At 33.9% G+C, this 25,263-nt stretch overlaps 1 annotated feature.

Annotated features, from left to right (window-relative positions):
• Window positions 6,427-6,980: an enhancer, noted in NCBI's record as "NANOG hESC enhancer chr21:21943094-21943647 (GRCh37/hg19 assembly coordinates)". NCBI's record gives its function as "activates a minimal SCP1, AML or CMV promoter by ChIP-STARR-seq in naive H9 embryonic stem cells {active_cell/tissue: H9 hESC(naive)}" and the evidence as "EXISTENCE:reporter gene assay evidence [ECO:0000049][PMID:30033119]".

Raw genomic sequence — 25,263 nt, 5'->3', positions numbered from 1 at the left:
AAATGAGATAGTCTTCACATATGTTTCTACTTGCTTAATATATTTTTTTCTGACATTTGCTCTTCTTTGTGGATATAATTGTTCTTAAAGGAATAAACTTATTTTTTAGTTATTTTTATGGAATATTAAATGACTTTGATGAGTTTCTAAGTCATCTAAAATTCTAAAAAAAGAATTTTTAGAATTACAGTAAGTCCACTTGGAAATTTCAACAGACAATCTTGATGGTTTAACTTATCATTTTTATTATAAAATACTGTAATTTTAAACATTTATTAACATTTTACTTTTAACTCTTATGCTCCTTCTTTTAAACTCATTCTCATTCCCAAGTGACACTGCATTCTGAAAATGTTTTGCTAACAGTACTTTAATTTTTAGCTTGATTTACTCTAGTAAGTATTAAACATTTCCATGACATACTTTTTTTTTTTTTTTGAGACAGAGTCTCACTCCTTTATCCAGGCTGGAGTACAATGGCATAATCTCAACTCACAGCAACCTCTGCCTCCCGGGTTCAGGTGATTCTCTCACCCCAGCCTCCTGAGTAGCTGGGATTACAGGTGCGAGCCACCATGCCTGGCTAATTTTTGTATTTTTAGTTGAGTCGGTGTTTCACCACGTTGGCCAGGCTGGTCTCGAACTCCTGACCTTAGGTGATCTGCCCACCTTGGCCTCCCAAGGTTCTGGGATTGCAGGCACCATGATACACTTAATATTAACACTGTTAGTTTTTCTGGAACTTCTTTCTCACCATGATTGGTATTACCTAATTGTAAATGGTTCACACTTCGCTGAAATCCTTTCCATTAACAGTGCCCTATTACGTCTTTGAGCAAACATTTCACATTAATGAGTAGGAAAACTTCACTAACATAAAAAATAGGGCTGATTTGAGCCTTAAGTAAAATATAATTTAATAAAGAAAATCACACCTATTAATGTAATTAATAAAGCAATGTTTTTCTGGAATATAGGAGTTAATTACATACATTTTGCTTTGATATAGGACATAAAAACTTAAAATATGTAAGATTTTTGAGTAGTGAAATTTCATATTTCATATCATTACTATAGAAATAAAAGATTTATTGCAATCTAGAAGTGAACAGCAAAAATTATACTCAGGAAAATTAGTAGATAAATGATATCTCATAGCTGAGAGAAGTCTTGAAGTGATGAAAGCAATTCCAAGGAAACATTGTCCAATTCTGAGAATACTTTTCATTTCTCCACTTCCAAATCTATGTATATTCAAGAATTTTCCAAATCTGGTGTTAGCGCCATAAGGTTTAGAAATGTGGCTTTAGGAATTATATCTCCATCGTTTGCTTACTGGGAGGTACTTCATTTGTGGGAAGGAAGATGGTCTATTGCTAAATATGCCCTCAAATGACAGCTACCACTTATTGATATTAATGTGTGCTAGACGCTTATGCTAATTACTTTGCCTATGTTATCTTAATCTTGATAATAAATCTGCCCATAGGTATTATTATTTCTATTTTGCAGGTAATATATCTGAGGCTTAGCCATTTGACTACTTTGCAGAAGATTATGAGATAAATACACAGAGGAGACATAATTTAAACCACATTAGAGTCCATGAAAAGTCCTCAAATATTTGTCAAAATATAGCACTTTAAGCCAAAATGTTTGGGTTTATATGAATATTTCTAAGGATTAAAATACAAAACTGTTAAAGATACATCAGTAAAAGTATGTACTCTTCATTTCTACGTTTATGTTTATTTCACTTAATTCTTTGTGATCAAATACTAAAATAATTACATTTTTTAAACATTGACAAATTTCTACCTTAATTGCAAGTAAACCTGTAATCAAACCAGTTGTCACCATTTTAAGCTACTCCTGGTAATATCATTATTAATAACTATGCAGTTTGAAACAATGACCACTTTTAAGTACATTGTGTATATGTGTGTGTCAATGTGTTTTAGTTTACTTTACAATTAAATTAAAATGAACGTAAGGATGTTTGGCAAAGAAGCAAGTTTACGTAAGCACTTGGAAGTTCTTTGACATAATGTGCGTGTCATTGTACATTCAACTCTTAACACATACAGGTGCTCAATAAATAATTATTAAATGAATGCAAATAATAAATGGAGAAAAGCATTAAGCTTATATCTTTTCTGTGTTTTTTTAGCATTAACCTTTACATCAAGAGGGTAGGTTTAGGGACCATGTTTTGAGACATTTTTATGGAAGAGGGCAATGGGAACCTGAATGGTTCTCTCTCAAGACTCGGGGCAAAGGATGAATTATGATAGTGAGAAGAAACAAAGAGGTCCCATATAAAGTACCTGAGAAAGGAATACGTGAAAACAAAGCTAATTTTGTAGTGTTTTTGTTTGCTTGTTTGTTTGTTTGTTTTTTGAGATGGAGTTTCTCTCTGTCACCCAGGCTGGAATGCAGTGGTGTGATCTTGGCTCACTGGAACCTCCGACTTCCGGGTTCAAGCGATTCTCCTGCCTCAGCCTCCTGAGTGGCTGGGATTACAAGTGTCTGCCACCATGCCGGGCTAATTTTTTGTATTTTTAGTAGAGACGGAGTTTTGCCATGCTGGGCAGGCTGGTCTTGAGCTCCTGACCTCAGGTGATCTGCCTACCTCAGCCTCTCAAAGTTTTGGGATTACAGGCGTGAGCCACTGCACCTGACCAATTTTGTAGTTTTTAACCCACAAGAAGTCTTTATTTCTTCACTCAGGCTTATTTTTCCCTTAGTATTCATCAAGTAATAAGAAGTGGACAACATACATTTACACTGAATATTTAAACACCAGCATATGTATGACTTTTCTCATTGAGGCTAGTTGCTGCATTGAATATAACTTCTAATAATGGCCATTTTCTTTTTGAGAAATTGGGCTTATCATACAATTTAGACTTGAAACTTATGTAAGTTTTTTATGGGCCATGGTATGCCATTTAAAATAAATTAGTACTAGAAAGAAAAAATATAACACTGTTAAATTAACTTCTTGTTGTTTGTGATATTAGTTGCCTCCCAAATATCAGTTGCATTTCCAGATATAATGTAAGCAACAAAAAACACACTAACAATGACTAAAATAATTCCCACTGGGGAACAATGGTTGCGTTTGTATATTGTTGGGCATTTATTTCAGTCAGCGTGGCAACCACCGTGATGAATTTAGTTTCAAACAATGGATCCATACTGCTGCCAACACAATTCCAGCGATTTATTCTAGAATTCAAGTCTCTATGGAGCATCGCGCTTCGTTCCCAGGAGACCATCATCGTTCCGCTGTCCTTGAACTCTGACTCTCCTTGTCTCTCATGTAACACTAGTCAATGAAATAACAATTGTGTTAAGAAGGAACTTGGGCTCCTTGGTTCCTTAGTCAATATAGTAATTGCCCAGATAAATCTGTTGCCCTCCGAAGCAATTTCTTCATGCATGACAGGTTCAGTGGCCTCTTCAGAGACAAAATCAATAAGAATTCAAAAATACACTATTTAATAAGTTCAGAATCATATAGTTAAAATGGCTTATAATTTAGATAATTTTTCCTTTGTTTGTTCATTAACACATAAACACACACCCAGACACACACATAAAAACACTGCAATTTTATTTGATATATATAAAACAGTGAAAACAATGCAATAGACAGAGTCCATACCTTGAAAGGACATAAATAATTTTTCTTTTAGTTAGTCGACTCATATATATTTTAAGTTTTAATAAATTTTTATCTCTTTGTTTGTCTATTTTATTATTTTTCTCTTATTTCTTATCTCTCAGCCTTCAGTGTTCTGTACATATAAAAACAGAAAAGAAAATGTGTAAATGGCCACAGAAATTTTGATATTTTTTTCCTGAGGCAGTATCGTAGTTCTTTGGATATTAAAGCTATTAATGATTTGGAAAGATATTTTCAATCCCAAGTGTAATGGATACTACTTTGCTATATAAAATTCCTTAGATTCAAAATTTTCTGATTTGCTGGAGACATAGGCTTATAAAAAATAAGATCAGCTAACATTACAAATTGTTATTCATTTAAAAATCAACACTTGTGCAATTAGACTGAAAAGCTTATTAATATATTTTTACAAGGAATATTTTTCAAGAAACATTATTATTAAACACCTCACGAACTATTCTATTTAGTCTACCCTTTGGTTTTCAAACTTACATATATTCTTCCTTTATATTCTTTTATTGTTTCTGCATAAAGTTCTATGTGCTAGAATTTTAATAAGCAATGATTGTCACATAAAACCATATAAATTTATGTTCAATCTTAATGTACATTTAAGTGAAAAAAGTTCAAAGACATCAATTTTGTAAATCTTAATTAGGTTATTCTTACAGTCAAAGTGATTATAATAATATCAATTATGTACTAAGTGTCAACACACATGTTAACATTTATATGTGCAAAGACATTTGTGTGTGTGTGTGCTTGTATGTGTTATTGTTATAACATTGACAGTTATGTGGCTTTTATTACATGCCAGGTATTGCTATACTCACTTTACGGAAATTGAGTTATTTAGTCTTCACTAGAACCTTCTGAGTTAACAAAAGGAAACTTAGGCGCAGAGAGGTTAAATACATTAACCAAAGTAACACAAAAGATAAATAGTGAGTTAGGATTCAATTCTAGGCAATTTGGCTATAGAGACCACTAAGGGCATAGAAAAAGTAAACATTTAATAGTTGAAGTTTTTGGTTGATAGGGTTAGGTTTGATTTATTAGTTGAATTATTTGATATCTTTATATTTTTGAATTGTATATATGTTTTACAAAAAGACTCCTTGTTGAAAAGAGCCCCTAATCATAGAATTTAAATGCTTGAAGTAATCTTATTTTAAACATGAAGATTTATTTTCACAGTTTTATATAATGCATACGTAATTCAATTCACCCATTTAAATTATACAGTTCAATGTACTTTAGTATATTCACAAGATTGTGCAATCATCACTATAATTTTTAAAAGTTCTTATCACTCATAAAAGAAACGGAGTACTCATTAGCAATCAATGCTCATTCTTGTTATCACCTTCTCCAAACCCAGTCCCGAATTCCACGAACCTACTTTCTATCTCTATGAATTTCCCCATTCAGAACATTTCATACAAAGCAATTGATACATATTTAGTCTTCTGAGTATGACTTCTATTGTTTAGTGTAATGTCTTCAAGATTCATCTATGTTTTCTATGTTTTCATATGTACCCATGATTACTGTTATTCCAGATAATATTCCATTGGACGAAAATACCTTTTATCTATTCATCACTTAATATACCTTTGGGTTTGTTTTTTTTTTTTTTTACATTTTGGCTAAATAGTGCTACTTTGAACATTTGTATACAATTTTTTGTAAACATATTTTTAAAATTATCTTCAATACATACACCTAAGTGTGATATTGCTGGGTCATATGGTAATTTTATGTTCAAGTAATTTAAATAAATTCAAATAATTCTATTTGAGGAACTGCCAAAGTGTCTTCTGAAGTCCTGCGCCATTGACCTTTCTATCAGCAATACGTAAGGATTCATATTTCTCTATATCCTTGTCATTACTTGTTATTGCCTGTTTTTTTTTGCTGATAGCCATATTAGTGTATGAGAAGTGGTATTCTCTTGGAATTTTTATTTGAATATCCATAAGGATAAATGATTTTTTAATGTATTTATTGGTCATGGTTATATATTCTTTGGTGAAATATTTATTCAAATAATTAATTCATTTGTATACTTAGTTCATTTGTCATTTTTATTGTTAAGTTGTCGGAGTTCCATACATAATCTAGATAGTAGACTCTTGATCCGGCATACCATTTGCAAAAAAAAGTCTTCTATTACTTGAGTAGTCTTTTCACTTTCCAAGTGTTTTTAGAAGTACGATATTTGTAAATTATAATGAAGTCCAACTGATTTTGTATTATAATGTTGTATCCTATAATTGTGATAAACTTGTTTATTAGCATTGTTTTATGAATTCCCTAGGGTTTTTCTACATACAAGATCATGTAATCTGCAAATAAAGATAGTTTTACATATTTGCTTCTACCTTAATGAATTTTATTTGTTTGTCTTGCTTAATTTTCCTGGCTAGAACCACCAATGCAAATTTGAAAACAAATGGCAAGAGCAGACATCCTTGTTCTCTCCCTGATTTTAGGGAGAGAGTTTTGAGTCTTTTACAATTGATTATGATGTTAGGTGTGCGATTTTTTATATGACCCTGGACTGAGGAAGTGTCATTCTATTTCTAGTTTGTTGAGTGTTTTTTTTTCTTTTTAATGAAAATGTGCTGGATTTTTCAAATGTTATTTCTACTTCAATTGAAATGATAAAGCATTTCTATCCTTTATTTTATTAAACTGGTGTATTACATGTATTTATTTTTTTTAAAAAAAGTTGAACCTCTCATGTATTCTGGAGATAAAACCCATGTATTCATAGGGTATAAGTCTTTCAATATATTGATAAAATTGGTTTATTAATATTTCATTAGGAACTTTTGCATCTATATACTTAAGTACAGGGAGTTTGAGATTTCAGGGCTGATCAAGGAAATGGATAAGATCACAAGGAGGCAGTAGCACACAATTTTTCCTTGGATGGTACTTTTGACTGGCTTGCCTTGGAGGGTAAGTCCCTCACAGCATGAGTCCTTTCAGACACAAAAGTGCAAGGCCACCACTGGGAAGGAGAAGAAGGAAAACGTACCTCAGAGACAAGGGAACAGGCAGGGCCTTACATGTTAAAGTGATGACATGGATCAGCATGATGGGAGTCTCTGAGTCAGAGAACTCCTAAGAGCAGCAGCGCTCCTGGTCTTTTATGGCCTCAGGGGTTTTCTTATCTATGGATAGCAGATTTGGGGTGTAGTTTTTTGGAGTGTGCAAAACAGATAGACTCTAAATGGGTAAAAATCTGCTTATTGAGGTTATATGTAAAGCAACTGGACAGGTAAAAACTTGAATTTGTTGCCAGTGGATTTTGAATTAACTAATGGTCCCAACTGGCTTTAAAAAAGCAACATATGCCCAAGTCTTATTTCTATAACAATATCAGTTGACATTTTTGTTTTCTTTTGATGTGCTTGTTGCATTTGTGTATCAGAGTGATACTGGCCTGACACACTTAGAAAACGTTTCTTCCTTCTATATGGTTTGAAATAGTTTGAGAAAGTTTGCTGTTAATTTTCTTGAAATGTTTGGTAGAATTCTCTCTTTTCCTGTTTTTTTTTGTGAGAAGTTTTTGATTACTAATTTAATGTCTTTACTTTTTAAAGCTATTTTCAGATTTTGTATTTCTTTAAGTTACTTTTAATATTTTGTGTCCAGGCCTTATCCATTTCATCTAGTTATCTAATTTTCTGATACTCAATTGTTCATAATATTTCCATGTAACCATTTTTATTTCTATATGGCCAATAATAATGTTTTCTTTTTCATGTATGATTTTATAAATTTGAATCTTTCTTTTTTCTTGATCAGTTTTCCTAGATATTCATTAATTTTGTTGATCTTCCAACAACTTTAGTTTTGTTGATTTTTTTCTATTATGTTTCTTTTCTGTATTTCATTTATTTTATTATTTAATAAAATTTTTATTTTCTTCCTTATACCTGCGCTGATTTTCTTGCCCTATCTTTTTCCCGGTGAAACACAAGGTTATTGATTTCAGATTGTTTTTCTTTTTTAACAGTGGAATTTACTGCTACACATTTCCCTCTAAGCATTGTTTTAGCTAAATCCCTTTATATTTAGTTTTTATTTTATTTTGTTTTTGAATTTCATGTTGTGTTTTTATTTTCACTTATCTCAAAGTATTCTCTAATGTCCCTTGTGATTTCTTCTTTGATCTATTGGTTACTTAGGAGTTAACTGTTTAGTTTCACTTATCTGTGAGTTTACTAAATTCCTTCCCCTTGCTGTTTTCCAGCTTAATTCCACTATGATCATAGAATACACTCTTTTTTAATTTATTGAAGCTAATGTTATACTCAAACACAAAGTCTATCCTACAGAACATTCCGTATACACTTAGATAAATGTGTATTCTGGTGTGGTCTTGTGTTGGACTCTTCATCCTTTGCACTGTTATTGTCAGATAAAATCCATCTGTAAACATTATAAGCCTATCAATAAACTTTTATAATAATTGCTCATGCAGTTGTATTTACAATGTAGAGAAGAAGTAGTTACACTAGAAAATATTTGTATTGTCTTTTTTAATACCTATGAAGATGGCTTTATTGATGCTCTTTATTTATCCACATGGACTTGAGTTACTGTCTGGTTTACTTTTATTGCAGCCAAAAGAACTCCCTTGTCTAGCCAGGAGTGGTGGCTTATGCCAGTAATCCCAGCACTTTGGAAGCCTGAGGCGGGTGGATCATATAAGGTCAGGAGTTTGAGACCAACCTGAGCAATATGGTGAAACCCTGTCTCTACTAAAAATACAAAAATTAGCCGGGGGTGGTGGTGGGCACCTGTAACCCCAGCTACTTGGGAGACTGAGGCAGGGGAATCACTTATACCTGGAGGCAGAGGTGGCAGTGAGCTGAGATTGCTCCACTGCACTCCAGCCTGGGCAACAGATCAAGATTCCATCTAAAATTAAAAAAAGAACTCCCTTGTCTATTTCTTGTATGAAAAGTCTCTTGGCAACACATTTTCTCCATTTTTGTGTATCTGAAAACGTTTTAATATATCCTTCATTTTTTCGAAGAAGAAGAATTTAGTTGTATCCTAAATGTTGGCTTGACATTATTTTTATTCAATATTTTGAAAGTATCATTCCATTGTATTTTGTCCTACGGTTTCTCAAGAAAAATCAGTTCACAGTCTTACTGGAGTTCTCTCATATTCGTGAGTAATTTTAGTCTTGCTGTCTTAAAAATGTTCTTGTCTTTGTCTTTAAAAATTTGAGCATGGGGAGTATGAGTAGATCTATTTGTTTTTATCCTCCTTGGAACACACTGAATTTCTTGAATATGTAGGTTTATATTTCATATCAAATATAGGTAGTTTTCCATCACAATCTGTACGCCTTCCTCTTCACCTTCTGGGATTCTCCTTATGCATATATTGGTACAGTCAATATGTCCCACAGTTCTGTGAGGCTGTATTTATGTTTCATCACTTTCTTTCTGCTCCTCAGCCAGGATAAATTCTATTGATCTAATTTTATGTTTACTGATTCTTTCTTCTAGCTCAAATCTGCCATTGAGTTCCTCTAGTGATCACTCATTTTTTAAATTAACTATTGTACAATTTTTATTTGGCTCATTTTTGTAATTTCTGTTTATTGATATTCCCCACTTGGTGATAGAAACACTTCCATACTTTCTTTTATTTTTTCATTTTTTAAATGTTTTCCTTTATTCTTTAAACACATTTATATTGGTGATTTAAATTATTTGACTGTTAACTCCAAAATCTGGGGAACTTTCCATAGAGAAACTGTCAATTATCTGCTTTTCTCCCTGCAGATTTACACAATTTCCTATTTATTTGCATACTACATAATTTATTTTTAAAAACTAGACATTGTCAATTTTAAATAATGTATTGCAACAACCATTATTTATTCCTCCATCCTCAGAGTTTATTTTTGTCCTGGTTGCTGAGTGTTTGTTTAACAACTTTTCTGGAATAATGTGTATTCTCTGTATTGTGTGATCATTGAGATCTCTGCTACTCTTCTTAAAGTATTTTTTTTTTTTTTTTTAGTTTACCATCCTTGCATTCCCATCTGGGAAGTATGATATATTAGCTGGCTGATGATTGGCCAGATTTCTTTAAATGCCTTGATGATATGTTCTTCACCCTTTGACAAGGGGACCAAGAAGACACGCATTCAAACTGTAGACACTTTACAATACAGCCTTAGATTTTACTTCCTACTTTTGCAGCCAGAAGTCAGTGCCTGGTGCCTTTCTCTTTCCTGGGTCTTCCTTGGGTATGTGTACAGTCTGGTACATGCATTCTACATTTTAGATTGACAAAGCTATGGTGGCACTTTTCAAAATTCAAGTCCTTATAGATTTGCAATTTGACTGCTTAGTGATACCAGGATAGATAAATGATAAATCCGAGAAGATAAATAGTTTAACAATATTAGAGGTAGAGTGAGCTGGAGCTGAATACTGAAATAGATATCTAAACACTCTTTCTCCCAAATCTAAAATACTTCATGCAGTAGGTAAAAAAAGTTTATTACTAATTATTACCTTAAATATATTTACTTGATAGCTTCCCTAATAGTCAGTGGAAAGATAGATGCCATATTTTTTTCTGAAAATAAAAAAGCTTTCCATTAAATGGGGGTAAAAATGTAAAGCTGATGTCTGAAATATTAACAACAGAGTCAAGTAAATAATCACCGACAAAGACAATTAATTTTTACTGATGCTTTATTGGTATTTCAATAAAACCTGCTAACAAGATGTAAAATATAAGCCTATTGATTATAACATCTTACTATTAAGGGAAGTTGTCAGACCACTTAACTATTACTTTTGGACCCTAAATTATCATTCGTAATATCTGGACATCATTTTTAATGATGATGTAGAATTAATTTTTTAGATGTAAGATAAGTAATAATCAAATCTAATCCTAAGCCCCCAAACTTGTTAAGAACAGTTTCTAAGAACATATTAAGTTTAAGCTGTTTTAAACAAATTCAAAATATTCTTTAGAATTTTATTCTAATTAGATTAAAAATACATAACTCTTTGGGGCACAGTGACAATTGCTTGTAGTCCCAACTACTTGGGGTGCTGAGGTGGGAGGATTGCTTGAGCCCAGGAGTTCAATTCCAGCCTGGGCAACAAAACAAGATCATCCCTCTTAAAAATTACTTTTAGGGACATACTCTTAACCATAGCCTGTTTTGCTAAGTAGAGATCATTATTAAAGGAAATTATTCAAGAAAAACTATTAATTGCATTTCCATGAAGCAAAATAATAATATGCTCAAAGTATTAAAATAACCCTTTGCTGATGTTGCATGACAGGTAAAAGGGATCTTATAACCCTGAGAAAGTTATAAAATAAATGTTATAGATTTATTCTAAAGAATGATTTATTTATTTATGATTTATTTTAAATAATTAAATCATAAATGATTTATTTTAAATAATTACATCATAAATGATTTATTCTAAAGAATAAATCTATGGCACAAGTAAAATAAAGTCTGAAATAGTAAGAAGGAGCATTTTTCATAAATATTAAAATTTAAATAACTTGAATTAATACCTCTATGATATATTTAATCCAGCAATATAAAATTAGAATACCAAATGTAATTGGGAGGAGACACATGCATGAGCATGCACATACATGCATGCACATCCGAAGTGTGAAATATCGGTTGGGCGTGGTGGCTCACACCTGTAATCCCAGCACTTTGGGAGGTCGAGGCAGGCGGATCACCTAAAGTCAGGAGTTTCAGACCCTCCTGGCCAACATGGTGAAACCCCGTCTCTACTAAAAACACAAAAATTAACTGGGCGTGGTGTTGCACTCCTGTAATCCCAGCTACTTGGGAGACTGAGGCAGGAGAAATCACTTGTATCCAGGAGGCGGAGGTTGCAGTAAGCTGAGATCATGCCACTGCACTCCAGCCAGGGCAACAGAGTGAGACTCAGTCTCAAAAAAGAAAAAAAAGTGTAAAACATCAGTCATTTCAATGAATAACATTTTACAGAACCAACATCTGAAATTGGGTAGAGTGTTTACTTATCATCAGACTATATAAATATACTTTGGTAACATTTTGGGGAAATAAACTGAATAAATTGGAAATGTTTTCATGGTTCAATAAGCATGTTTTTGTCATCAATAGTATTTTTATAGATCTATAAAGTATGAAATACTTCAGTTAACATTTTAGAACTAAAAAAATACATTAACATTGAAGAGATATAAAATGGAGATATGTACTTAAAGTTGTACATACTTTGACTTCTTCACGCACTTTAAAACAAGATAAATTGATGGCTCAAACATCTTTTAAAATGAAATTTTGAAACAATGTATTTTATTTTCAGGTTATGCAGGAAAATGGATAGATTATCTCCTTTTTAGAAGTTATATTTTTATGAATTGAAAAAATAAGTGTACATTTATGACAGCCGGCAGAATTATAAACAGTATGTATAATGATGAAATCCAATGTATGCGAGACATGGAGTCCAATTCTAATTAAGTAAATTCTCTAAAATGTAAATTAATTGTGTTTACCACCAAAACACCATCTGCTTCTAATAACTGAAAATTGTTAAGTAAATGGAAGAGTTGTATTATGCTGAAAAATATCTGTCTTTTATTTCACAGTAGAAAAAGCGAAACAACAATCTCAACTGTTGGGCACATTATAATAGGGCTTTTCTCATCACTTAAAAATTGCGAGATATATAATCATTTCTATCTAGTTATGTAACTATGGATATGTGTGTATGCATATTTGCTTATATCTGTATTCCTTTCCATGTTTATGAATCAAATGCATTTTGTTCTACTGGTGAGAAAGACAATTTATCAAATAAGTATTGTTTTTCATATATTCTCTGATTTTTTTACCTTTATATGATAAAATCTGGATTAAATGGACCAAGAGCATATCAGTACTGAATTTCCTATGAAAAAACTACCAGAAAGCTTATAGACTAACTAAATATTGAATTACATAATTTTGACAGTTATCAATTGGTAAAGTAAGAAATACTCATAAAATAAAGCTTAGTTATATGTATTCATTTTGATCTCTACAAAATGAAATAATAAAGTACGTGAGGATGAATATCATTATCATGATTTTTTTCTTTTTGCCTCAATATATCTAGAGCTTACCACTTCTAAACCTATTAATATATTCTCAATAGGAAAGCCATATAATTTGTTTTGCAGTATCCTGGATACACTTCTGCTACTCAAATTGTTTTGCCATAATTGTTTAACAAGTCTGTGGAGTATTATCTTGATAACAACTCTAAGTAAAACTTTTCTTAAATTGAAATGGAAAATATGTTGCACTGCCTTTGCTCCCTTTCTTTTCTCCTTCCATCAGTTGGCTGTTAATACATTAAATTCCACCCAGAGGAATTTAAATTAAGAAATTTTATGATTTTAAAAAGCAGGTAATCTCATGGTAATGTTTAAAAGAGCTTGTATTTTATAATCTGTTAAAATTGTAAAATATAGTTTCTCAAAAATTTTGTCTCTATGCATTTCAAAAATTAGAGCAACTGAGTACTATACACAGAATACATTTAATTAGTTGATATTAAAATAATGCTTTTTGAGCCAGTTAGTTAAATTGACAAGTAATGACGGAACATAACACCCAACATCACTCCTTTATTTATTTCATTCTTTTTCTCCTGCTTCTGTGTTTGCTTTTATTTTCCTACAGCCTCCTAAATTTTGTCATTTTCATTGAGACCTTATGTATCTCCTCCATCTTATTAAGAAAAAAAAAGATATGATATAGAAACAGCGTTTGATGGGAATTCAGGAAAATCATATATGTCTACTAATAGTTTCAAAGACATAGTGCCTATAAAACCCTGGGTATAAAGTTACAATAAAAATGAATTACATTTGACTAACAGTTTTACATGAGATAAAACCTGTTTAATAGTGAGAAGTGAGAGGAGGGGAAAAATTTTAATTGTTGGCTGATGTGAGTCATTTGATAACACAAAACCCAGGGTAGAATCAGGGACAGAAAAGGAACCAACCTGTGGAAGTATTTTAGTATGATTTGCATGAATTAAACTATGACAGCTGTGTAATCAAGCTGATTATACTTTTCTTCAACACTGTGTGTTCTGAGCCAGTAAAACATATCAGAGTCTGCCACGGATGTTACAGATGGCCTCAAATTATTGCTACTTCTCCCATTAAGAGGTGGAGTCTAATTCTACTCCCTTTGAATCTGGGTTTGCCTTGTTTACTTGATTAATTGAATTTGTGGAAAAGGACATTCTGAGATTTCCAAAGCTACTTTATAAGAAGCCTTGTAGGCTGGGCACAGTGGCTCACGCCTGTTATCCCAGCACTTTGGGAGGCCAAGGTGGGTGGATCTGGAGGTCAGGAGATCGAGACCGTCCTGGCCAATATGGTGAAACCCCGTCTCTACTAAAAATACAAAAATTAGCCGGGCGTGGTGGCGGGCACCTATGGTCCCAGCTACTTAGGAGGCTGAGGCAGGAGAATGGCGTGAACCCAGGAGGCAGAGCTTGCAGTGAGCCGAGATCGTGCCACTGCACTCCAGCCTGGGCGACTGAGCAAGACTCCGTCTCAAAAACAAACAAAAAACAAACAAACAAAAACAAACAAACAAAAAAACCAGAAGCCTTGGAGCTTCTACCCAAGCCTCTTGGAATGCTGCTGCTGGGAGAACCTTGTCATGATGTAAAGAGTCCAACAACCTTGAGACTTGTACCGTTCAAAGACAAAAAGTTGCCCAGTCAACCTCCACTTGTCCAGCTAGCCTAGCCCAGATGTCAGACATGTGATTGAAGAAGACATTTTGGATCAACAAACAGCCAAAACTAAGACTTCATATCTATGGTCCTCAGTAAGCCATGACAGTCATTTCCACTTGTTTGAACCACCTAAGCTCAGTCATTGTGGAACCGAGCTGAGTCCTCTCTGTGGTGGTTTGCACAGATTTCTGGTCCATAAAATCGCCAACATATTACAATGGTTGTTACTAGGTTGATGCAAAGCAGTTGCGGTTTCCACCATTAAAAATAGTGGCAAAAACTGCAATTCCTTTTGCACCAACCTTCTCCTAGGAGGTCCTATTTTTGTGGTTTCTTAGGCACTATAGATACGCAAAGTAACATCTAATAGAAACAATCTGGTGAATAACAATGACACCCAAAAATTCGTCTGTCGTGCATGTTGAACAGCGGTGAAATGGACAATATTAACGCTGATTTTCTCTGGCCAAAGGGTGAGTGTATCAATTTGTATGGCCTGTATATGTCTGCGTGTGTTGAGTGGAATGGATATCAAATTGTATTGCACAGGGAACCAGGAATTCTATTTTATCCTCCATGTAGGAAATGTTGTCGTTTTGTCCCCAATTACTGTGTTACTAGTTCCTCAATTTAAAACCTTCAGTATGAACTACAAGGACAGATGTTTAAAAGGCAGCTACTAAGAAAATATAAAGCTCAAAATAGAGTATTTCATGGAATCGTATGAAAATCAGGCAGCATGTCACGGAATGTGCAATACATTCTTGCCTTACATATATTTAGCATTTGTAATTTTGCCTATACTTGGTACAACTTGTAATAATAAGAATTGAATGGAGGCATACATGTTTCCAGACTCTTGTAGGGGAGATTATCTTTTAATTGGATGACCAATGATTTGACAGACCTGTATCCATATGGATAATATTTTTCAGTCCCTTTATTGGTTGTTTTCTCTGGCATGCTCTGTAATTACATTCTGGGGAAGAATGTAAAAGCCGCCTCAAGAGAGCAGAAGATATGAAAAAGAAATATGTGAATGAGAGTAGGGTAAATTAAGAAGTTTGGGTTCAGTGGGGCTTGTTTCTTCCTCTGCCTTCAGGAATGCACCTGAGGGCAGAGGGCCCTGGGCTATAGAAACATTTGGAATAATTTTCTGCCTGTGGCAATATCACCAAAAGGAGAGAATTTAGAAAATGTTCTCTTTTTCACAGTGAGTAAGAGGGTGGTTCTGAAATATAGTAGGATGTTACACATTCTGCAAGGCATGAAACGATCTGGCACAAGGAATACTTAGTCTGCCCAAAACACCAGTAGATGGTGCTTTCTCACCCAGCAGCCTGGTTTAAAAGAAAGTCTGGGTAAAAGCCTATGACTCAGAGAGAGACCCTGTATTCTCGCTCTCCCAACGTTGAGTCTTGAGTTCAAAACCTTGACTCTACTACTTATTTTCTAGTTAACTTATGTAAACCATTCAACCTTTCTATGCTCCATTTTCCTTTTTCTTCAAGTAAGGTTTAACTGTGTTTTGTTGTAGTTGTTGTTATTGTTTTTTTATAAGACAGGGTCTCACTCTGTTGCCCACGTTTGAGTGCAGTGTTACAATCACGGTCCACTGAGGCCTTGACCTCCCGCGCTCAAGCGATCCTCCCACCTCAGCCTTCCCAGTAGCTGGGACTACAGGCGCACAACACCATGCCCAACTAATTTTTTACTTTTTGTAGAGACAGGATTTAGGGGGTTTCACCATGTTGCCCAGGCTGGTCATGAACTCCTGAGCTCAGGTGATCCACCTGCCACGGCCTTCCAAAGTTCTGGGATTACAGGCTGGAGCCTGGCCTAGTAGGGTTCAATTGTAATTGTTTCAAAGAATTGTTTGAGCATATTTAAACATATTGAAAATGAAATACTTATATATATTACACACATAGCTGCTGCTCCCATGTCAAAATAGTACTTCTAAACGGATCCCTCTCATAACCTCAAGGAGTTTCCCTTTTGCCCCTGCTTGAAACTTCTCAGCAGATGACCCAATATCTCATGACTTAGTATCAAACCTCCCCAAATTCCTCTCTTCCACATCCAAATGGATATTATTTTTTATCTGTCTTTATGCTGCTATCATAAAGACAAATATTATTTCAACTATGGGCAAATTAAATCTCTTCTACACATGGTTTTCATTATAAAGAATCTTGTATTCTTTAACCATTTATTTCAACAATTCTTACTACTTCCATATTTGTATATCCAATTACTCATTTTCCAATATTTTTTTTTTTTTCTTTTTTAAGACATTGCCTTGCTCTGTCACCCAGGCTGGAGTACAGTAGCTTGATTATAGCCATGTCAGCCTTGAACTCTGGGACTCAAAGGACTCTTCTCTCTCAGCCTCTCAAGTAGCTGGGACTACAGGTGTGTGTCACCACCCTCAGATAATGTTTATTTTTTGTAGAGACAGGGTCTCTCCATGTTGCCCAGGCTGGTCTCAAACTCTTGGGCTTAAGTGATGCTCCCATCTATACCATCTCAAAGTGCTGGGATTACAGGCATGAGACACTGTGGACAGACTTTAAAAAAAATAAACGTACATATAAAATCATTCAGGAATTTTACTTTATAAAATGTTCTATTTTGACCATATTATCTCCTTGAACTATTATGTTATTTCTATTCTCTCCACTAAAAATTCTAAAAAGCTATTATTTGAAAAAACAATCTATAATTCCTAGCTCCTTTTTCCTTATATACATTTCAATATAGCACTGCCTTGATAATCCCAAGGAAGCTATAATTGAAACAATTATACCTTTTAGGGGTCTTTCAATTTACCTTTTCCAAAATTGCTTCTGGTATCTTTTATGAGCATAATTTACGTTTTTTATTCTCCCCCATATATTTTAAACCTATTTTAATATTTAATTTTAATACAAATATTGGCATATTTGAATACGTATCTAACATACACAAATATTGTATTGGTTTCACCTATTTTGTATTCATTTTAAATTCTTTCTCTTCATCTTTTAATACATCTTCATTTTTATATACACACACATAAAATCATTCATAAAAATAATTACAAGGTAATGTATAGGCAGCCTCAATTTTCAGTTTCCTAGCAATCTTTTTTTTCTGGAAGATCTGCATTCTATCATATATCATTTCCCTTCTTTCTGAAGATTCTCATTGACCATTTTTTGTAGTTCCTGTCTGTTGAGTGCAAAATCTCTGAGGCATTTTTGTTTGAAAATGCTTTTGTTTTAGCTTCATTTGAAAGGATTGTCCCACTAGATAGATAGTTCTGGGTTGACAGATTACAAAATAATCTTTTAGAACTCTAAATATGTTATTTTGTTAAATTTTAGTCTCCATTACTTCTAAGAAGTCAGCCGTATGACAGTGTTGCACTGTATGTAATATTCCCTCTAGCTCCTGGCCAATTTTCAGTTTTCTCTTTGATTTCCTGGGGTAGACTTTAAGAGGAAGGGCATTGAGGTCTGATGGCCTGGGTTTGAGTACCAGGTGTGAAATTTCTACACTCTGTAATATTAGCAGATTATTTGGCTCTCAACTGTTGAGTGCTTCTATCTAAAAAGTAGGAGTAATAATAATAAATCACAGCATATTAATAATTAAATGAGGAAATATGTATGAATGTCCTGAACAATGTAAGACACGTATTAAATAATCTGTGAATGATAATTATCAATACTTACACAAGTGTTTACTCATATATATTGTACACTATGCAGATTGTAAGCTGTTTGAGATTTAAAAATAACATGTGTTATGGATGGATAAAGAAAATATGGCAAATACACATCACGGAATACTCTGCAGCCATAAAAAAGAATGAAACCACGTCCTTTGCAGCAGCAACTTGGATGCAGCTGGAGGCTATTATTCCAAGTGACTTGACACAGGAACAGGAAATCAAATACACCATGTTCTCATCTTTATGTCTACGGCTACCCAATGCTAACCTCACTTATAAGTGGATGTTTCAAGGAGTACATGTGCAGGTTTGTTAATATGGGTCTATTACACGACACTGAGTTTTGGAGGCACTTATAAGTTGAAAGTTAGCCTTGGGTATCCATAGACATAAAGATGAGAACAATAGACACTGAGAACTACTAAACAGGGAATAGATGAAGGAGGACAAGAGCTGAAAAACTACCTATTGGATACTATGCTCACTATGTGGGTGACAGGATTATTTGTGCCTCCAAAACTCAGTGTTATGCAATATACCCATATTAACAAACCTGCACATGTATTCCTTGAATCTAAAATAAAAGTCCAAATTATATTTTTTAAAAAGTACCCATTTTTTCCTGTTTTATCAGTGCCTGAAATTTTTCTCATTTATTAGTATTTATAGAGAGCGTAAATTTAGAAATTATTTGTGAATTTTTGTCCATTGATATTTATTTTGTCAAACCTTATTTTGAGACGTATGTGTCCTTATGTGTATTCCATTTCTGTGTTTAGTTTTAGTGGAAATATTCTTTTCCTGGTTGATTTTCAAGGTTCATATGCTAGAAAAGAGTTACTCACAAGAGAAGGAGCAAAAATCTTCAATAAATATTGATTACCTTAGTTAACAATGATAATTTTGTACCTATTGTATCTTAGGCATTACTTAAATGCTGGCAACCTACTACTAAATTAGAGAAAGCATTTAAATTAAATTATGTAGAGTTTTTTTCATTGTAAGAGGTGGAAAAAGCAACAATAATGAAAGCTTGTAGAGAGGGGTGTCAAAATTTGTTCATGACAACTCTGATATGTGGAGAAAATAGCATTTTCAACTTGTTATAACCTGTTATGTCGATTTCTTCAGAAACTACAATTGGATGGTTAATTGGATTCCAGCATGCTGCTGCATAACCAGAATGGAGATGGAAACGCCCTGTTTTCATTAGTGACATTTATCACAGATACTAATTTAAACAGTCTTTGTATATAAGGCTTTGTTTCATTAAAGTATCCAGACTCTCAGCTACATATCCCTCTCTAACACTTGCACCTGCTTCTCTCCTTCACATAAGTGTTGGGTGCTTGGCAAAGAGAGGGCCCCTGGCTCTGCAAAATGTCTTTGCCTCGTTCACTGGGTCTGTAATACTCAGTGCAAGCTGAAATCCATGTTTGACTGAACTCATAATTTAAGTTGTCTTTTCCAGTTGATTCAAAACCTGGCAACTTTTGCTTACTGATTTGGCTTCATCTGCCCTGACAGAAGCAGATCCTGAATTTCTGCTGTGTTCTCCAACCAACTTGCTGATGCTACTGTCCCCCAGTAGCACCTGTTTATTGTCTAACTCAACCTAAAATAGTGGTCCACTCAGGAGATCCACCAACTCTCACACAGTACCCATCTGAGATGGGTTCCCTGAAGCCATGGCAAGGTGTCTTCATGTACTCATAGATTTCACGCTTGCACTCTTTGGGTCTCAATTTGCATCATCCATTTGACTGGCCCATGTTCTAGGCATGGACAGCACGGTCTGACGTTGACATTTTCCTCAGAATTGTAAAAGAGTTATAATTATTAATATCAATGCACCCCCTAACTTGCAAAATCTAAACTCAGAAAGAAAAAATAAGAAAGAAAAAAAATATATATATACACATATATATGTGTAAATTTTAAAAAACCTGCTTATTATGTTTCTCTGCTTCTCTCTTTCCAAATCCTCCACAGGTTCCCCTTCCCCTGATAAGATATTCTTCTCCTATCATCATCAGTTTCTTCCTCTTGTCATCCTTCTGGTTAATGCCTAGCTGTGTATATGGTAGTCTAACAAATCAATTTGTTGGGGGGATGTCAAAATCCATTTCTTCTTCTTTTTTAATGGTGATGGAGTCTTGCTCTGTTGCTCAGGCTGGAGTGCAGTGGCACGATCTTGGCTCACTGCAACCTCCACCTCCAGGGTTCAAGGAATTATCCTGCCTCAGCCTTCTGAGTAGCTGGGATGACAGGCGCACGCCGACACGCCTGGCTAATTTTTTGTATTTTTTAGTAAAGACGGGGTTTCACCATGTTGCCCAGGCTGGTCTCAAACTCCTGAGTCCAGGAAATCTGCCCACCTCGGCCTCCCAAAGTGCTAGGATTATAGGCATGAGCAACCACGCACAGCCTCAAAATCCATTTCTAACCATATCCACTAACAAATTTTATATAAAACTTGACAGCTGCAGCTTTAAGGGAAAAAAATTCCCTTTATAGGAAAAAAAATTAGAAGAAATGCATAAGACCTACTATTTGATAGCACAAAAGGTTGACTATATAGTCAATTATAACTTAATTGTATATTTAATTGAATATTTTAAAATAACTTCAGTGTAATTGGGCTGTTTGTAACTCAAAGGAAAAATGCTTGAGGGGATGGATACTGCCATTCTTTATGATGTGCTCATTTCACATTGCATGCCTGTATCAAAACATCCCTTGTACCACATAAATATATGCACCTACTTGTACCCACACAATTAAAAAAATGAATAAATAAATAAATACTTTTATTATAATGCTGGAGATAGTCTTTCCTGTTTCTGTAAAACTTCGAATGTTTAAATTGTATAATTCCATAAGCAGATATTTAGAGAGGTGGCATTTGGATGGAAATTTTTGCAAATCATGCTTAAACATCTTTTTTGGTCTATAATAAAGGGAAGTCTGGGCAAATAAATGAATGACCTGAGATTTAAAAAATAGTACCTAATACTGACTTCAAGAAAGGAAGTGCTGAACTATTATATTGTTATCTTGACTGAGCTTTGAGGTTGTGGAGTGTTTAGAATTTTCTCAAACATATAAGCTGGGAAGATTTAATTCTGAGGCAGTATCAGAGGGCTCACTGAGGCAGGACTAAATTGAAGTGGAAGAAAATTATTTTTCTCTCTGGGGTCCAAGAGTGAGCTAGGTTCAGACTTTTACATTGATTTTTGTGATGGTGGATAAGCTATTCTTGACTGCATGAACACACGAAAGTGACCAATAGGAAGCTAGCCAGGGGAGAAAACCAAGTGCAAGGTAGCTTCCTTCAGAAAGAATGGAGACCATGCTTATTCTATCACAACTTGTATTACAGTTTCATTAAGTATCTGACTACTTGGCTGTCATGGGTGCTATGGATATTTCAGAAAACCCTAGGACCTCATTGCCTGCAGGTTTTAGTAAGATCCCAGAATACTCCAAATTTTCTCTTGGTTATCAGGCCTGGAAAACTTATAGTCTATATGGTCTCAAGAGAAAAAAAATGTTTCCTTGAGATAAATTATGGCCTAGGTTTGAACTTTGAACAACATGTTCACTTGTCTTTAGAAATCTTTTGTCTTTTCTGAGCTGGAAGTGTAAGTAGGAAAATAGAATCAGTCTCAGAGCTCACCACAAATTTAGAATACATAGAAAGACTATGTAATGGTAAGCTTTGTCTACCTCTATCAGCAATAATTTTGAAATATTGTCCTTTATTATTTAGAGAGATGTCTTTTTGTGAGTTTAAGGGTGAAACAAGAAATCAGGCTACTGATTCTACCTTTGAGCACCTCCATTGCTCGCTCAATTTTTAAATTTTAGCTTATTAATGTAGGTTGATCTTTTTCTTCAAAGTCCTTTCTGTTTATATAATCTATAAGAATATTTCCCAAGAGAACCATCTATCCTACTGTGTTTAGTGACTGCAGTAGGGTCATTCCCATTTTTCGTTTTCTCAAAGCCAACAATTTAGTATAAGATTTATTTTATTTTTGTTAGCCTTCTTCAAAATGCACAGATTGGTGTTGTAAATCTGGCAATGGAACTAATTGTCATTCTAGTTTTTGCCTGTGTAATAAATTCCTTATTTTTGGTTTAACATCATTCAAAAAAAAAGTAGAGAAACCCAGGCACATGTGCCTCAGGATCTACATCTGAATTCTCTCTGCTTGAGCCTTTATCCATGAAATTGCAAAAGCACTCTTTGCCTATGACACTGAATCAGAGGAAAGGCTTTAGGTGTAGGCTCTAAAAGACCTTTTCCAACATCCACAGTTTTCCTAAAAACCTCTGGTGGCCTATGCAATTTCATGTCTTTTATGTGTCAATATGTTTCTGTCCTGACTCCTTTTTTTGATATTTCAAGTTTAATGGAAAATAAAACTTTTAAGATTTTATGCCTGGGCAGCAGGCAGCTAGTCAGAGGCAAGAAATGTTACTGCAATATCACCGTGCATTATTACTGGCTATGTGCACAGGGAGGAGTTCAAAATGACCCTGAATATTATTAAACATAAAATGTTCAGCACCAAATCCTTGATGTGGGATTACTGGATTCTTGAATTAAAAACACATTGGGGGTCACTGCGGTCAGCAAAGAATTTTGAAACTTCTGGTAAAAACAGTGATTTCAGGAGTAGACTGAGAACAAAACAATAATATCTTTGTAATGTTCTGAAATCACCGCATTAATAAAACTGAGACTGCATTTCCCAGTTTGATTTGCTGACCATCTTGTCTGCCCGTAATTATTATGTGCCATTCATTTTCTCTAATAGTCAATTATTACTAAAAAAATTATGAAAAAAGTGCATGTCTTTGTCTCCTGTGGCTGATGAATGCAGTGAAGTCTTAGATCAGGCCAGTGCATCATAATCTTTTCCATTACAATGACTTATACTGTCACAAACAGGATATGCTTGGCTAAGAGGCCATAAATGGTGCTGAATTAATATGAACATATTGTCAACAATGATAGCAAGAAGTTAGAACAGAGACTTAGCTCTCCACTTTTTGAAAACACACTGGTTTTTGTCTCTGATTAAAAGTAGTACATGCTTATTTATCCTGGAGACAAGTTAACATTTGGTGTGTGAATTTTTAGCTCTTACCTCTTTTTTATATATACATATTTTTAAGCAAATGGGACTGCACCATATATATATATATATATATATATACAATTTTGTAGCCTTCTTTTTTTTACTTAACATTTACTATGAACAGTTTCCAATGTCATTTTTTCAGTTCAGATTTTTAGTTTAGGTTTTTAAATATTCCTCCCCCCAAAAACCATCAAAACGATCTGTTCATAGAATAAAGCTCAGTTTATTCCTACTTCAGCAAAGGAGATCACTACTTTAAAAGAGTGTTATTCCTGAAGTCTTTGTTTTATTTAACAATTTATTTGTGGGAATTATTCAAGTGCCAAAATAGTGGTGGATTCCTACAGAGGGAAGGTATATTTCATCTGCCAGACATTAGTGCACTATTAGTCTGGAATCACTTTAAATTAACTTGGTTACTTTATGGTTTCTTCTGTCCTCTAAATTTTAAATTACAGCTTCACGTCAACATGTAGAGCTGATTGAGGATGTAGCTTCTCACAGAATTTCTGTGTGGAAGCCACACCTACTCCATAAGAAAACGTATTTTATCAAGATTCCCAAGTGATTCTTATGAACACTGGTATTTGGGAAGAACCTCTCCAATATAGCATTTTTCTAGCTGGGTTGTACCTCCATCAGTTGGGGAATCTGATTCCTGACTTCCACACCCACATGATTCTGATTTAGAATCATTAGACTGATAACGTAAATTGGTATTCTGAAAGACTTTCCAGTTGACTCTAATGCTCAGGGAAAGTATAGAGTCAACTTTCTTGGAGATACTGTTTTATTTCTTCGTTGATCCTTAACAGTGTCTTAACAGAAATGTTGCACTTAGTTGATGCTCAATACATGCTGATTAAGGCTTCTCTAGGCGTGCAGATTATTTTTCCTAATGAGATTGGAATAGTATCTACTTCTTTATAAAGATAGAAGTATTCTTAACTTTAAAATACCTTTTCTTCATTGCTTTACTAGTCATGGGTTGAAATTTAAATAAAATAATTAAAGGTAAATGCCTTTTTAACTAGTTGCTTTTACAATGACTAATTTCACAGACTCAACTCAGATGTAGACAGTTTCTTCCCGAAAAAAGAAAAGTTCATAATAGTGATATCTTACATTTTGTAACACATTACCAGATACTATTTATAGACCCCAAAGGTTTATACCTAGCTTACACTTTGGATATACAGGCCACTTTTTAACAGACATATTTGTATATGTAAAAATACACACACACACACACACACACACACACACACACACATAAACATATGCTTGTACCCCCCCAGGCTAGGACTTATGGATTATCAAAGTTTAATTTTTTTTTTTACAGACATAACTCATCGCAGCAGGCTGTGCTTTCACTCCATAAACATTGCAAAGTTCTGTGCTGTTGAACAGTTTTGAGTTGATTACATTTCCCCAAACTCAAGAGATCTTGACTTTCTAGAAAAGACTCATTAAAATGGAAAGAGAAGAAACCAATGTAGAATTCGATATGGAGCAGTACGTTCAAAGATTTATATAGGAAACGAGATAAAATTTGAATATTTTTCAAATCCAAGTCATCATCTAGGACATTTATTATTTTATCCCTGCTCTTGTAAGATGCTATTGTTTTTCTTTTTTCTAAACAAACAAGAGTAAGATACCTTGTTATGTACCTGTCTCATTTCAATGACATAAAGTGTATGATTTTAAGTATATAAAAATGAGATTTATTTTCATACTTACATCATTTAAAGTGAAAAATAAAAACAAATCTCTATTCTAGGAAAAAAAAATGAAAAAGAATTAGTCTTGTCAAGGTTTTTACTCTTTACACAGAGTTACTTCTGACTTCTCTGATATTTTCTACAT

This window comes from Homo sapiens, chromosome 21 (genome assembly GCF_000001405.40).
Source record: "Homo sapiens chromosome 21, GRCh38.p14 Primary Assembly".
Lineage (NCBI taxonomy): Eukaryota > Metazoa > Chordata > Mammalia > Primates > Hominidae > Homo > Homo sapiens.
This window is presented reverse-complemented; position numbering and strand designations above follow the sequence as displayed.